The sequence below is a fragment of the Homo sapiens genome, chromosome 1 (genome assembly GCF_000001405.40).
Source record: "Homo sapiens chromosome 1, GRCh38.p14 Primary Assembly".
NCBI classification, from domain to species: domain Eukaryota; kingdom Metazoa; phylum Chordata; class Mammalia; order Primates; family Hominidae; genus Homo; species Homo sapiens.
This window is the reverse complement of record NC_000001.11, coordinates 4,764,344-4,780,922: the sequence shown is the minus strand read 5'-3', so window position 1 is coordinate 4,780,922 and position 16,579 is coordinate 4,764,344. Positions and strand designations below refer to the sequence as shown.

The window sequence follows — 16,579 nt, the reverse complement described above, 5'->3', positions numbered from 1 at the left end:
TACAGTGGAGTGTCCGCTCAGCTACTGTGGGAAGACCAGCTGCTGTGGGCACAGGGTTCACTGCATGTAAAGAAAGGAGACATCCTGGCCAACATGGTGAAACCCCATCTCTAGTGAAAATACAAAAATTAGGCATGGGGGCGCACACCTGTAATCCCAGCTACCTGGGAGGTTGAGGCATGAGAATTACTTGAACCCGGGAGGCAGAGGTTGCAGTGAGCCGAGATGGCACCACTACACTCCAGCCTGGGCAACAGAGTGAGGCTGTGTCCCACAAAAAAAAAAAAAAGAAAGAAAGAAAGAAAAGAAAAAAGAAAAAAAAAAGAAAGGGGACGTGCCTTTGGGTTAGCGCCAGATCACTCTTGGTAGCCTTACTCCAGCTGTGCCCCACCCCTGCCCACCTCTTCCACATTCCCCGGATTTGGGGAAGAGGGGCTTAAAAAATGAAGTAATTATTACAACACAGAGAGAAATATCCCTCTTATATGTCCATCTTGGTAATTTTTTTGAAAGTTAAAAAATGTAGAGACGAATGCTGTATGATTCTACTTACAGGAAGTACCAGAGCTACCAAATCCACAGAGACGAAGAGTAGAATTGGGGGCCAGGGGATGGGGGGAGACGGGGAGTGAGTGTTGAGTGGGTGCGGAGTTTTAATACGGGGTGACGGAAGGAGGTGAAGAGCTGGCTTGTGAAGATGCCTGCACAGGACGGTAAAGGCACTCATGCCATTGAACTAGACACGCATAAATGGTTACATGGTAATTTTTTTTTTTTTTTTTTTTTTTTTTGAGACTGTCACCCAGGCTGGAGTGCAGTGGCACAATCTCAGCTCACTGCAACCTCCGCCTCCTGGGTTCAAGCGATTCTCCTGCCTCAGCCTCCCTGGTGGCTGGGATTATAGGCGCACACCACACACCCGTCTAATTTTTGTATTTTTAGTAGAGATGGGGTTTCGCCATGTTGGTCAGACTGGTCTCAAACTCCTGACTTCAGGTGATCCGCCGGCCTCAGCCTCCCAAAGTGCTGGGATTACAGGTGTGAGCCACCGTGCCTGGCCTAAAACGGTAAATTTTATGTTACATATATTTACTACAATTACAATTTTTCTTAAAAGGGAGATAAAAATCCTCGGGCCACCAGAAGCTAGGCTTCGAGACCCTACACTGGGTCCCGGTGTCCTGGGACTGTCACCGGTTGTAAGCTGCTGTCCCTGTGTTCCCTGATCATTGATTACTCACAAGGCCAACCTTTTGCTCTGGAATGTGTTCAGGGTTGGACCGTAAGTCATATGGCTGCCACCTTAATAAGAATAGTTTCCTGCCTGAACTGTGGCCCCGGCTGCTTTCCAATCCTTAATCCTGACCTTAAACAGGAGAATAAAGGCCGGAGGAGCAGCTTCCAACCATTGCGTCTGTCTGGCTGTGCTCCGGAGGTGTTCCCATGTAGACTTTATCCTGCCACTTTCCCATGTGAAAGTCTCCCGTGTGAAGGTGGAGGCGGAGCTTACAGCGAGCTGAGATCGAGCCACTGCACTCCAGCCTGGGCGACAGAGCGAGACTCTGTCTCAAAAAAAAAAAAAGAAAAAGAAAAAGAAAAAAAGCCTCCTGCACTTCCCATGCTGGCTCATCAGATCCTTCTGCACTGGGTCCTGGCCACCTTTCCACCTCACTCTTCCTCTTCTTCTTCCTCTCTACGTTCCAGCTTCCCTGATTTCAAGTTGCAAATCTCAAGCCTCAAATCCTTCAGGTTTTGGCTGGAAAGAACACCTCCCTGGGGAGGGCCTCTTGGATGCCCCATTCCTTCCTACACACATCCCCTATTTTACTTCTGTCTCCTGCAGCACTTGCTCGGTGACATCTTCGGTATGGGACCATCTGCATCGAGCTTTATCTGGGCAGATGTGCAAGGCATCCCCTGCTGGCAGCACAGCCTCCTGAGAACGGGGGTCTCCTGCCCATTCACCACTGGTTCATGCAGGTTCCAGTTCTGTGCCTGGCCCGGAGTAGGGAATCAAAACACCGGATGAGGCTCAGAGACGCGGCAGAGGTGTGAAGCAGTTTTGTCCTCAGTCGCTAAGACCCGTCCCTAATGGCATGAAACAACCTCTGGGGACTGCCTGCAGGTAGATGCTGATGCAGGGAGCCACAGACACGACGTGGAGGATCAACGAGTGGGTGGCAGCCTATGCCAGACATCCCCGGCTATGCAGGGAAGGGAGTCTCTTCCAAGACTACAGGCATCTCTCTCTACTCTGTGTCTCAGGATGGAAAAGAGAGAGAGAGGGAGAGGGGGAGAGACAGAGAGAAGAGAGAGAGAGAGAGAGAGAGAGAGAGAGAGAGAGAGAGAGATGGCGCCAATCCTGCACCTTGAATGACCATTTCCAGAGCCATGCTGGCTTTGTAGAGGGTGGAGAGGTTTCCTGCAAGACCAAGGTGTGGTCACAGCCCCTGGCCCAGGAGGAGGCTCTCATGTTGTCCATGCTCTGCCAAAACTCTGTTGCTCAAACTTCAGCTGCTTGTGTTTTTCTGCGCCACACTTAGCACGTGAGCCTCTCATCTTGGCACTAAGCCCAGAGAAGGACTGAGGATCCCAGGCCAGCTGGGAAAGACAGATAAGGTGGGGCCTGGACCCCATGGCTGGAAAATAACGTGGCTGAAGGTGAATGTCCACCTGAGATTCCCTGGGCAAAAAGGGAAGCTGTATGTATCTTGCAAAGCCATCTTCCAGATCGGGATCTGGGATAAATTCTGCCCTCTGCTGCCTGGAAGGAGATTCTCGGCTGGCCTGGCCCCACTGGGCTGCATGCTACGCAGTGGCGCACTGGGTGTAATGACCACTGTCTGCTTTTGCAAAAAATAAATAAATACATACATACATACATAAAATAAATACATAAATAAAGAGCAAACAGGCTACCGCCAGGTGTCCCCGGGGCAGAGCAGAATTTCTTGACAATCTGAAGTGGCTACTTTCTCTCAAAGTTTTCGTGGTACTGTTCTCAGCTCAGCAAGCACAGCTTCCAGAAAGGTATGGATGTTGCTTTGAAAAACAGGCTCCTTTGAATAACAAAAGTTTGATATTCTATTAATGTATATTTTGGAAGAACAAAGTGGGAAGGCACAGGTACACTTCTTATTTTTTATTAGTGATCAATGTGTTTTTGAAAATAATAATAGTGCATGATTTATTTCTCACTTGCTTCGGATTCAAGAGCTTTTATGACTTTGCAGGCTCCGTTCAGAACGAAGCGGCCTTGGCAAAGGGAAAGAGATCAACATTAACGAGGTTTGCTGAAGTGTACCTGCTGTATGAAAGATGATCGCGAATTAGTCCGAGAGCCAATGCAGGCCTGCTCTCGAGGCCCCCTTCCTTGGAGCATAAAGGCCAGCTTCACTTTGCCCAGAGCAGTCTGGCCCCACCACAAAGGTGGTCTGAGGCCAGAACGTGTTGGAATCTATCACAAAGGCTGAATCTGGGGTGCACATCTGCCCAGGAGCCACTGGCATTCCGGACAACCGCCTGCAAGAAAACGAACTTGGCTGACTTTGGGTCCCAAATGTGCACACGGATTAGACTGAGAAGAAAGACAATGGTGTGGTAACAAACGGCTGCATCGTCATTAAAAATGCATTTGGAGAGGCTTCCCAGCTATGTGAGAGAGAAAGAGCTCCACTGGCTCTTAAACCTTAATTAAATGTTTTAGTATTAATTGCTATTTATTTAGGGACAATAAGTACCCCAGCAAATCTGAGAGATGTTTCTGGCTATTCTGCACCCGACGCTCATGTCCAGGCATTAATTGCAAGATTCAGGGGATACTTAGAATCCCAACGCTTTCATCCTAGTGAGTGGTAAACGGTCTGTCCCGCAATCGGCAACAGAATCTTATAAGCATTTATCAAGGACTAACGAGGCTGTGTGCATAGCCCTCCTGGTCCACAGCTACTTCAGGAGGCCACCAGGAGTGGGCCGTGGCTTCGTGTCGGCAGATTCCCAGGCTGAGCGCAGCTGCCTTCAGTAAGCCTCACGGGCTCTTCTGAACTCTGCGGACGACCTACCTGAGAGCCACAGGGAGGGGGTCAGCTCTTTAGACACAGAGATGTTTCCTTGTGTAAATGCCGGTGGTCCTGAAACAGCTCCTCAGGCACAGTTGGGAAGTGGGGTCCACCTGGGGCCCATCTGGGGGCGCCCATGTCTCTTGCCTTTGCCTGGGGCTGCAGCACAGGGCTAGCCCACCAACAGTATTTCTGGGGGGTCTTCAGTGCCCCATGCTGCTGGAAGGGGAGGACCAGGCTGATGAGACACGAAGGTTTTCTGGGGCAGATGAGTAAATAAAACACTTTTTTTTGCCCTATTTTATCTTTTTATTTTTTTTAAAGTCAGTGCTGCGGGCTCCTGTTCTAATGGAAAAGAAGGATCCCTGGGCTCAGGCCTGTGGAGTAGGCAGGGGATGTCCCGGAGCCAGGCAGCCATCGGGTGATCCAGCCCCACCACTAACAACCTGGCTGACCTCGGCCAAGTCATTTAACCTCCCACTGCCTCAGTTTCCCCACTTGTAAAAGGAATTGCTGGGAGGACTGGGCAGGTAAAAAGTGTTCCATGAGCTGCCGTGCAAACATTAGAAAGCTGTCCCCTCTCCCCTAGGGAGCTGACCTCGGCCAAGTCATTTAACCTCCCACTGCCTCGGTTTCCCCACTTGTAAATGAGATTGCTGGGAGGACTGGGCAAGTAAAAAGTGTTCCACGAGCTGCCGTGCAAACATCCGTATTACGGGGCTGTCCCCCCGAGTTGACCTCTCCAGTTCTGTGGGTCTGTGGCTCTTGGCGGAAGGGAGTGAGGGTCTTCGACTCTAAGGCCTTGCATCTCCCAGGTCAATGAATTGTGCATTAACAAATTTTAAAAATCATAACAGAGATGCTGGCAACCATCAGGACCCAGTCCCTACAGAGGCTTTACCAGGCGGGTCGCGGACTACACTGCTAGCAAGCCAGCTCCCTGCGGCTAGCTTGGTTGGCACTCCAGTAGGGGCTCCCTTCATGAGGGGAGCTGCGGTGAGGCAGACAAAGGCACTGGCTTCTGATGGATGCTCTAGGCTGCACATCCCCCCACTGAATGGTGGGGGCAACCCGCCTCTTACCTGCTGCAGCAAAGGCCCTTGCAGGGCAGCTCGGTTCCCATATTCTAATCTAATTACGTTTCTTTGCCAGTTGGCAGAACATGTTGGCTTCGGGGTAGGGAGTGAGGGCTGGAGATTTGATTTGGAGCAAACATGCAGTTCATTAGTGCCAGGATGAGGAACTGACCGATTCACTCCCCTCTCTGACTGCAGCTGGTTCCCCGCCCCCAGCAAGGTGCAGCCAGCTGAGTCCTCCAGACCTTCCCTGTCCGCGGGCCCCTGAGGACTTTGTCCATTCTGTCCCTCATATCAGATGGTGGGCAAAAAGTAAGAAAAAAATATTTTCAAATATTGGTATTCTATCCTAGAAATACGGCTCCCTACTCATGGAAGGGATCTTAGGTCACCTTTGGAAGGAAGCAAGATGAGGATGCGTAGAAAGCCCAGCGTCGAAAAGAACCATGAAAACAACACGAAAACCTCAGGTCACACCCATGGGCTGTGCTTATAGAATGCATGGGATGTGCAGCCATGAGGGCGCAATGCTCTCTCCCCTCAGCAGCCCGAGTGCTCTGAAGACTCAGCACAGAAGGAGGCAATTTAACGTTAGCATTAAAGTTAATATCACTAAAAGCAAACCAAATGTTCCCATCCAGCAGAGCGTGGAAAATTCATCCTGTTTTGGTGCCGGTTCCTGGCTTCAAATTAGTAGATGTCTCAACTCTTCCCTTTCTTTCTTTATCATTTTCTTTCTTATCTCTTATTTTTATATTTCAAAATTGTATTTTAATTCTGCCTTGCGCCCTCCCCCGATGTAAAGACATGTGATGGAGGTGCGATTCCTGCCTCCCTAGCCGCTGTCCTAATCTCCTCCTGTTGTGGGAAATGAGAGCTGTAATTGTCGCTTGTTTTAGGGAATGACTTTCCCTGCCACGTAGGCCACGCATGTGGTGGCCTTCCTGAGGGAAGGAGTGGCACTGATAAGAATAGTGAGGACGTGGAATCAGGGTGCATGAATGTCTGTTACTATCCTCCCCTGGGACGGGGAGGGCACTTCTAACAAATCCAACATCAAGGTCAAAAGCCCAGCCCCCCCCGCCGGCTCATGTTCAGAGAAGTGATGCCATTGGAAATCCACCCGCCATGTCTAAAAGAGCTCCCAGTGATCCCAAAGAGTGCAGGGGAGGGCAGTGGGGAGGGGAGGAAAGGGAACGAAAACAGGAATGTCCAAAGAGAGGTACCTACCGTGAAACAGACACACGGCGTCTGCCCTGCCCCCAGGAGGTAAAAAAGACTTCGGCCAGTCAGCAGGAGATTTCAAACCATTTCTCAGACACGAAGGCCACAGGAATAAGATGCCGATCAGAAGAGGAGGGTCTGCGGTGAACAGAAAAATGGGCTTTGGCGTGCTGGTACTTGACCATGACACATGATAGGCAAGCCGGGGCAGGCCTGTGGTGGGGACTGGCTTCTTGAGAAAGGAAGCACTAATGTGGACTCCTGGCCTTGCCAGGAAGGGACCACCCCCCACATTCCCTGTGGCTGGGAGAAGTCCTCACACACGAATGCTTTCTACCCTGGGAGGCTTTGGAAGACACAGACTGAGGGATCTGGGCACACGAGCACTTTGCTGCACAGGCCGGAAGGCTGTGCCGTCTCCACATTTTCGTTTTTGAATTTGCAGGATTAGCCCAGAGCCTGGGGTCTCTGCCTCTGATGGCAGATTTGACCCACTTTATTGCACATGACAGAAAGGATAGAACCTGGCTCCCAAAATGTCTCGCCCATATTTTGTCACCTTTGAGACTAAGCTACCATTTCCCAAGGCCAATGAAACCCAACAGAGCATGACCTTGGGCCAAAAGGCAAGAACTAGTTCCATCCAATGCCTCCATGCCAGGGCACGAGAGCACCAGCTGTGCGAACTCTGCTCTTGGACAGCCCCCCACCCCACCTCCCTGCATAACACAAGCACAGAAGGTGGGAAAAGTGAAGCAACAGAGGCCAGCCCACGGCCCTCTGCCCTCTACCCACACGGCCCAAGCACTGGCTGGCCCAGATTCACGTCCAAGCCAACATCCACATATTCAGTGAAACAGTTTGGAAATCTGTTAGCCGGTTATTTGTGAACTTAGCCTTCTGGAAGGCTGAAATGGCACCCATGAGCTCCCCAAATGTCTGAGTGTAAAACCACTGAGGTTTAGAACAACAGTTCTGAGGTTCTGAGCGCCACTGTCCTCCTCCAGAAGGGAAGGGAACGTCTAAGACAGAGAATATCACAGATGGCAGAATGCAACGTGGACATGCAAGAAGAGGCGTGGCCAGAAGGTATTTCAGGAACATCTGCTCATTCTAGCCAACAGGACAAAGACACATTAACTATGGATGTGGCAGCCCCGGCAGTCCTCCCTCTCCAGGGCCCCTGAACAAATCAGCAAACAGAACGAAAGGGAGCATGCAGCCAGCCCTTTCTAAAACAACTCGAGTCCAGTCACCTTGCCCTGGGTTCCAGGGGAGCCCTTTCTGGGGGCCTGGGGCAGTGTTACCCTGGCTGCTAATTCTATTGCTCACAATGGATCCCAGCCTCCTCCTTTCTTCAAGTTGTTGGAGACTGTTTTTTTAATTTACAACATGATGCATAAATGTATGCTCACTTAAAAAAAAAGCTTATTGATACTTTAATTTAATTCTGGACAAACCTTTGAAAGCTGACTCAAGGGTTTTTTTAAATATTCCCAGGGATGGCTGTGGGGTACATTTTCTTTGAGGGATTACACATGAGTAATAAAAAAGGAGGAGCATTTAGTAACGTACTTCCGGTCTGGGAGTCTGGTGGGTATCTGATATTTTTGCTAAATTTGCCGCTGACATTTTATTGACAGGGCTCAGAGACGCTGACTCCGGTCGGGGGGCTGTTGTGATCTGTTGATATTTAGGAGGCCAATAACCACGGGGCTGGCCTTTGGGCTCTGGGGCACGAAGGATGACGGTTCAGAGCGAGGGCTGGGAGACTATGCATTTCCCGCCACTGCCCACGTCCAGGGGTCTGGAAGGAAATTCCAGCCACTGTATTCTCTGGGAGCAGCTAAACGCCTGTTGCTATCAACCCTGCCTCTTTCGTTTTGCCAAATTAGCTGTCCGCCTTGGCTGGGCCCCTCAAAGCGACCTCAGGGAAGACCTAAACCGACCAACAGCTCTCAGCTCAGCCACACCGGCCCCCGGGGGTCAGGAGCACCAAGAGCTTCACAGCTGCAGGGTCTAGCAGAGCCCGAGCTTACCGGTTTCCATTAAATGTGGATTTGTACTCCCCCGTCGTCGAGTGCAGCGTCTCATCGGTGTACACGGGCACAGATGCCCTGACGCACTCGTGAGAACACTGCAGGGTCTCGTTATAGGCCGTGAATATGTCCAGGCTGCTGGGCACCCGGGCCGAGGGGAAGTCCGTGAGGTTCTGGCAGCTCTCCTCCTGCTGGTTGGTCTTCCGCTGGTGGCTGTTCCGACGAGTGTTCCCGCTTTGGGCACAGCTGGAAGAGAAAGAGTTTGGGGTAGGGGGACGGGCAGAGGCCGGAAACCCACAAACACAACTCCAGACTTCCACTGTGGGTCTTTCGCTTGCAGGCGTGAGCTACGCATCATTTCATATTAAACGGTAATTCCCAGCCTCTTCAGAAAGATCAACCACAATCAAGCAATCAACTCTTTTTTTTTAAAAAAAAAAAATGAAATTTGAATTTTAAATGTGGCTATTACAGCAGGGAGGATGAGGGGTAAGTAGTGAGCTGTGTGATCGCAGAGCTAGGGACCTGCTTAACTAAAGAGCATCAGTCAGACCATGGTGCTGACTCAGTTTCCCCACGAACGCCTCGACGGGATAAAAGCTGTGGTGGGTCCTTCCTGCCAGAGGGGCCTAGAGTGTGTGGGAGCCTTTGGGTACAGGTTGGGGTGGTCCGTTCCTTCATCTCAGAATGGACAATGGACCTGTCTTTGGGGAAAGCTGATGAGTGAGAAAGCCCCTGTCCTCAGCCTCACCCAGGGGCACGTGTACAAGCTGGAAATGACGAGCTGGCTTGTCCTTCATCCCTGATCAAGTCTGCAGAGGGAAGTGTCCTGCGTGCCTGCCTGTTATGGTCTAGTTCCTCTGAACCACAGGGGTTTCCAGAGGCCACTTATAGTGACCATGGGACTCCTACCCTCGTCTGTCCAGGGACTCGACGAAGCAAGAATCGAGGCCCCCGGATGCCACTTCTATGATGAGAGCACAGGAAGGACAAGGGGGCTGGCTGGGAGGCCCCTCCCCTGCTGCATGGGGAGCTGAGGACGTCTCCCCGCATTGGGGGCCATTTCCCCTGCCCGCCCCTTCCCCTTCACGCTCAGGGCCTGTGTACAGGGAGGGGCTGCACGAAGGCAAGGGGCAGGGGGGATGCGCCCGTCTCCTTCTAAGTCTTGGCTATTTCCTGCGTTGGTTTTCCCAATGAAAGGAATCCTGATTCCTGGAGAAGAAGCCCCCTACCCCATACACCAAGGTCAGAAGGTGAATGCCAAACGCAGGGGGCAGCCCCACCCACAAAGTCTTCCTCAGAGGGAGGTCAGGTTCATAGGACTTGCTCATCCATCCTCCCGGGCTGTTCTCCCAAAGGGCTCTTTGAAGGTCTGCTATAAGCTCGAGTGTGAGAAAAGCAAGATGAAGGCTTGTCATCAACTTGTCACAGAACAGGCTACAAAGTCCCCTGTCTCTGGGGAGATGAAGCCCTTCACCGAGATGGCCAGTGGGATTTGTCCTTCCATACGCCCACACAGTCCAGGGGTCCAAAGTCCCTTCTCTGGCCAGCCCCTGCCTAAGAAGCCCCACTGTGAGCTCCGTGTTGTTCTCTCATCCCCTGTCTCCAGAAAACGCCCGGGGTCCCAGTTTGCTACCTATCAGGAGGTGGCTTTGAGGCCTCGCTAGCCGAGTGGGAGGTCTGTTGTGGGGCTGTGCTACCCCCACCCTCCTGCAGCCTGTCAAGAAGTCCCACCTCCTCTGATCCCAGAGCCTGGCTTTTTCTCTCTCTTTCTTGTGTTCCCCTGTGATTCTGAGGCTCTGATGCGGTTTCCACCATCAGCCTTGTCTGATTCATATGGCTGTGTGCAGGCAGCAAGGGGACCATTTGGGTCTGTTATTCTATGAGGGAGTTTTAAGCCTGGATGCCGAAAGGAGACACAGTTGCTGGAGGAGTGGCTGCAGGCAGGTGAGGTCCCCAAGGCGCTTTCGAGCAGCAGGGCCTCCCAGCAGTCCCCTGATTTCTCAGGGGCTTATCAGGTGTGTACACCCAGCAAGGCTGGCCTCAAAGTAGGCCAATTTCTAGGAGGAAATAGGCAAAGGCAGGCTGCCTAGAGCAAAGCGGTAACCTAGTTCAGCACACAGAGTGGCTTTGAGAGGAACGAAGAATACAAACAGGGCTGGTTCAGCAACCGGCCACCAAGCCTGAGTGAGGGACGTGGGACCCTGCTGGGTGCTGGCAGAAGGGCCCCATCCCTACCTTTCCAGGGAAGGGGCAGAGGAGACAAGATATAGGGACTGTGCTCTGGGTGGACAACATCCCAAGGGACACTTGGATCCAGAGAAAGAATCTGGAACCCAGGACCACACGCACCCTGAGAAGCTCTGTCACAAAGGCTGGGCTCGCTGGCCTTCTGCAGGGAAACCAGGAGAGGGGCCGGGCCAAAGGGCAGCGCTGGACGGTGAGCAGCCTGTGGCAGCTGAACTGCCCAGGGCAGAAGCCAGCAGAACAGGCTGGCTTTGAAAAGTAGGGGCCTTTCTGTATTCACCACCCAGGGACCCCGGTAGTCCCCCATTTCTGGGCCAGAAGGGCCCAAGGAGCCTTACCAATTTTTTAAGACAAGAGTTGTGATGAGAGCAGCTATGACCATGATGAGGGAGACGGTGATGGTGATGATCTGATGGACAGCCAGACCTGGAAAGAAGGAAAGAGGGAAGAGGGCACCCGTGAAACCAGGTTCAGGAGGCGAGGGGGGCCGGGAAAGGTGGAGGTGCATCCCCCCAACCCAGCTGGGGATGCCAGGTCCCATCCGCAGCGGGGAACTCGGGGCAGCATGACAGGTGCTCAGTTCTCTCCTCCTCGACTGCAGGCCCCGGGCATGAGGCTGCTCTCACCCGGGGTCCAGGAAGGGGGAGCTCCAGCTCTGGGCTCTCTCCTTCCACCACCACCCTGTCAGTCTCCAAGCCGTGACCTGGATCATGGGCGGCTGTGTTCTTTCTTGCACCTGCCAAGCCCTTCACCTGCCTCCTCTACCTGGCGGCAGGTCAGCTCTGGGTGAGATATTCCCCATGGCCCCTTTCTCCCCTCACACCCTGGGCCAGTCTCGCACTTCTATTCTGGAACGGTTAGCTCCAGGGTGCTGGCCTGTGAGTGGGAGCAGGGTTTGGCCTGACCCAGGGGGAGCCAGGATGGGCCAGTACATATTGGGGAGGTAAAAAGAAGAGCACATGGGATGACACCCTCACAGACCCAGATCACGGGGTGAAATCTTCCTCTTTCCAGAGTCCTCGCTAAGAAGTTCACTGCTTCACAAGGTTCCAGGAATGAAAGTTTCAGGCCAGCAGCGGATGCTTCCCACAGTCCCAAAGGAGAATCCATGGTCTAGCCTTGTTGCCCTGGCCCCAATACCTGAATGGGGAGGTGGGGGGCACTGGAATCGGCAGGACAGGGACAGAAGGACCAGCCACTTCAGAAGTGGGGCAGGTAGAGCTCTGGTCATGAGCTGTTTGCTGACACCCACATGCACGATGGCAGAAAGCAGGGATTCTTTCCCGTCCCCCACCTCTGTCCCAAAACCTTCTGCAACATTTGCCGCTAACCACAGACACAGGACTGGGGAAACAGGAGGGCAGGCCTGCAACAGCTCCTGCCTCTGGTCCCTACCACAGACCACCTTCTCTCCTGACTACACATCTGTCACATCCTTCCTGGGACCTGGATGCTGGGGACATTACCAACCAGCCAGGGCTACTCGGAAGGTCCACTTTAGCACCTGAGAAGCTGGAAGATCAAGGCAGTGAGGGAGTCCGCCAAGCCCGCAGGTGGCAGCACCTCCTCCTACTCATCTCCCCATGTCCTTCCACCTGAGATCCAAGCAACTGTCCTGTCTCCGCCTGGGGCTCCATCTTGGTGTCTGCTTTGCAGAGACCCGCCCCTCACACCTGACCAACCTCTTGGGCTGCTGGGGTGAGAACACTGCATGTGCGTGTTTCAGCATGGCGGGTTTCAGTGTCAAGATTTTTCTGGCGGCCTCCCAAGGACAGTCTCTTAAACAGATGTTACCTCTCTGCTGGATATGATCCTCATGGGGGAAATTGTTCATAAATGATTAAACATTGGCACAGCCAGAAAACAAGCTTTGTCTTCCTGTTTCCCCCTCTCTGGGGGTAATTTTTGTTTTTCACGAGGGATTCTCCTCCAGGATCCACAGAATAACAGCATCCGGCAAACAGTGGAGGAAACACATGAGCATGGCGAGTCTCTCCCAAGCCTTCTTCTATCCACTGATTCAGGAACTGTTTGTTGTGCACCTACTGTGCGCCTGCAGCACTAGTACTGCTCACCCACAGGCAACAGCTGCTCCGATGCCCCCTGAATAAAGGTGCTGCATTCATTGCAGTTCTGGCCAATGACCTCCCATAAACCTGTGCCCCATCTGTGGCACCTGCTGTAAACCTCTGGGCAAGTCCCTTCTCTGGGACTGCCAAGTTGGTTTGCTAATGAGTTGAAAGCTAAGTTATGCAACAGGGACCACCCCTAATCCCACCAACAATGGAGTGTCTACCAGCTCTGGTAATCCCTATCTATGTGCCAAGTTTCCTGAGACCCAACTCAGACCTCATGTGCAGAGGAAGGATTGAAAAGGATGGACAGCTGTGGAGGGTGGGTTGCCTGTTCAGTCTCCTCTTGCTCTCTACCCACACACTCCCTCTGGCCCAGTCAAGAGAAAGCCATGCTGTCACAAAGCGTATGTGCTCATCCGGTGTCTGTGCTTCTTGTGATGAGAAGGAGGTTGCTGCTGCTGCTGCTGATGGTGATGGTGATGGTGGTGATGATGGTAATGATAATGATGGTGATGGTGATGATGATGGTGATGATAATAGTGATGATGATGGTGGTGATGGTGATGTGGTGATGATGGTAATGATAAAGATGGTGATGATGATAATGGTGATGGTGGTGATGGTGATGATGGTGATAATGATGGTAATGATAAAGATGGTGATGATGATAATGGTGATGGTGGTGGTGATGGTGATGATGGTGATAATGATGGTAATGGTGAAGATGGTGATAATAATGGCAATGATGATAATGGTATGGTGATGATGATAGTGATGGTAACGATGATGTTGGTGGTGGTAACGATGATGATGGTGGTGGTGATGGTGACGATGGTAATAATGGTGATGGTGATAATGATGGTGATGGTAATAATGATAGTGATGGTGATGACGGTGATAGTGACATGATGATCATAATGATGGTGATACTGATGTTGATGATAGTGATATGATAATGGTGATGGTGATGATGGTGAAGGTGATGCTGATGATAATGTGATCTTAGCTGCATGATGTATCATTAAATTTACAACTAAGGGGTAAAAAATCAGAAACCAAGTTAACAGAAAGAAGGGTAATGATCTACTTCTGATGTTGGCCTTGCCCTGGAGGCCCTTCTCCTGCCTTTTGTGTAAATTTTCTTCATAGACTTCCCACATTAAAACGTGAAGGGTGCATTATGGGCTAATCACCAGCTAAGAGGGTCTGGGCAGTCACACACACGCAATACAACAGCTATGCTTTCTACAGGATCCCTCGATGCACCTAGCTAAGCCTTCACACCTGGGATCGATGTAACCCATCTCCACCCCACATTTTTTTTAACCTGTCTGACAAACTGGGTGCCTGATGCTAAAGAAGAAAAATGACTTTCCCTGGTCAGCAAGCAGAGCCTGGACAAACGCAATTCTCTGCTCCAGTGTCCCCAAGAAAACCAAAATCTAAATCCAAATCCCACACACCTGCACATTCTGTCGTTAAATAAGTTCAAGATCAACAGTTTACCAAACCCTGCACAGACTTTTCTTGCAAAGTAAACAGCCGTGTGCTTCAAAACCTGGAGTGTGGGTTTCAATGGGCTCCTGGGCTCCTGCTTAGGATGCTACAACTATGAGGATAAACTACAGACCCTCATGATGGTTGGACAAGGACTGGGACTTCTGACATGTGGCCCCAATAATATTTCTAGGAAGCAGGCTGAAATATGGAAAATTCATAAGGGTTCTTCATTATTTCCTCTCTTTGGTAGGCTGCTCACTTAGAATAAAGCAAAATAACATGGGAGAAGTCGTGTGGTGTTTACAGCATCCGCCCCATCATTTAGTCTCCCCAAGAGCCAGGAGTAGTTTCCTTCCATGTGTAAATCTTCATGTGGATCCCAGGTAGACAAACCTTTTCTTAAAGGACCAGATAGTAAATATTTTAGGCTTTACAGGCAGTATGGCCTCAGTCACAACTACTCAACTCTACCATTGTAGCAAAAAAAGCAGCCACAGACAATGGGCAAAGAAGCAAATGGGGCTGTTTTCCAATAAAACTTCATTTCCAAAAACAGGCAGTGGCCATGTTTGGCCCATGGACCACAGTTTACAGATACGTGATTTAGGTGAGTAGCTCAAGGTGGCTCTGCTTATAGATTAAATAAAAGCATATTCTTAGTTTTGGATGATCGGTTAATGCTTGGAATCAAACTGCAATCTTTTAGTTTGAAGGATTAGAACCTTGCTCCTCCACCATCAAAGCTTTGCTGTGTGCTGGGCTCTTCACTGGTCACTGTCAAGGTGGTTTCAGAGAGACCCACAGCCTCTAGTTTATGGCTGGGTCTTAACACCCAGCAGCAGTGGCCTCACCCTGCTGGGTTTGTCCATATGAAGCCACTTGATAATAAGTCACTTTGCATGAAGGTTTCCCTTGAGAAGTCAATTACACAGGATTTTTGATTTTTGGAAATCAAAACTCAGAAAGAAATGTACCAGTTTGATTCCTTCGATGGCTCTTAGAACTATTTCAGCCATGTCTATCTCCATTTTCTCCATGTTTAAAAGAAATAGCATCTTGCCAAACACAAGAATGTTCAGATTATGGAATCATTGTGTAGAGAGAGACCATATCTTATTGGTCTGTGGAAAGGACTTTTCCCACACTATGCAAATGGCACCATTCTCAGGAGGCTTTGACTTTTCTCCTCCTTCTTCACTCATGTCTCTCCTTCTTCACTCATGTCTCTCTCAATACTCTCGCCTTAAATAACATTCCCTCTGGTCAAGTCTCTGGTGGCTATTAGCTACCTCGGGCAGGAACACCTGTCCCATAAACCCTGCTGCCCCTGAGCAATCCTGGAAAAGTTTCCATGTCAGCTGTCCAGGGGCTATGACTAGATTGACAATGATGTCACCTAAAGGGAGCACACTCTCTATGCCCCCAAGGAAGGAACAAACAAGCAAACTTTTCCCTCTCCACTTCCAAGGTCAACACTGAATCACATCTTCAAACTCTTTGCAATTCAGACCTGGTCCCAGAGCTCAGAAGCAGGCTGTGTGGGAATTCTTGCTTCCCCTTCCTGACAGGTGTTATTCTGCTAATTTGGGGGCTTTTTCTGCTTCTGTTAATCGCCACTGTATACTAATGCGTGAGGAATCAGCTGCCATCCAGATGATGAAAAATTATCCCCAAAATAATGGATGGGGACAGATGGATTACCAAGCTCTGCATCAATCAATAGGGCTTTTATGGTTATATTTGTGGTGGTTTGTAATAAGATCAGGCCCTGAAGATTGATGTGGAAGTTTGTAATCCATCTCTGGGTCTGAACAAGGTCTTATTAAATGAAGCTGAATCAAATACGGGCCATTGTCCATGGCAAAAACAAACCCATCACGTGCTTTCTTTCTAGGACGTGAGGCACGTTTGGCTGGTACACTTGGATGATGGCGGGAGTGATGGTCCTGGAATTGGCCAAGGCAAACAGATGACATTGCTGTGCGTATCACAGCTGATTTCACAATGCAGAAATCGGGAGCGTCTGAATTATGCAAACAAAGAGCCATGGTCACTGGACACAAAAATGTCTGTCATGCAACAAGTGTAAGTTTGATAGGTGACAGGTGACATTGGGACTCAAAGTGCCAATTCCATCCCAAAAAAGCCATTCATTTTCCACAGAGACCTGCAAAATGTAAATTTCACAGCAGTCCTTGAAAAAGAGTCTCTGGGAACACGTTGGCCTGACTAGGGTGAAGCTCACAGTGCCCAGTGGTGGACAGATCAGAGGCAGCTTGGCTTGCTGGAGTTGGAGGAACCTCAGGGATTAGGCTTCGTCTGAGTCAGTTGCTCACCTCCTGGGAACAGGCTGCTAAGAA

General features: G+C 50.7%; 1 protein-coding gene across 3 annotated transcripts in view; it reads right to left on the bottom strand.

The window, feature by feature from the left end:
- Positions 1 to 16,579, bottom strand: part of AJAP1 (adherens junctions associated protein 1) — a 137,926-nt gene that overhangs the window by 11,612 nt on the left and 109,735 nt on the right. The window contains exons 3-6 of one of the 3 annotated variants that reach the window (XM_011541786.3): positions 10,983 to 11,070; positions 8,398 to 8,643; positions 6,365 to 6,496; positions 3,305 to 3,522 (exon numbers count right to left, since the gene is read on the bottom strand). In XM_011541786.3, the coding sequence (XP_011540088.1) occupies positions 6,424 to 6,496; positions 8,398 to 8,643; positions 10,983 to 11,070 (407 nt within the window). In that variant the 3' untranslated portion in view covers positions 3,305 to 3,522; positions 6,365 to 6,423. Of the gene's footprint in view, positions 1 to 3,127; positions 3,523 to 6,364; positions 6,497 to 8,397; positions 8,644 to 10,982; positions 11,071 to 16,579 lie in introns of those variants that run through there. The other 2 variants (NM_001042478.2, NM_018836.4) reach the window with 2 other exon arrangements.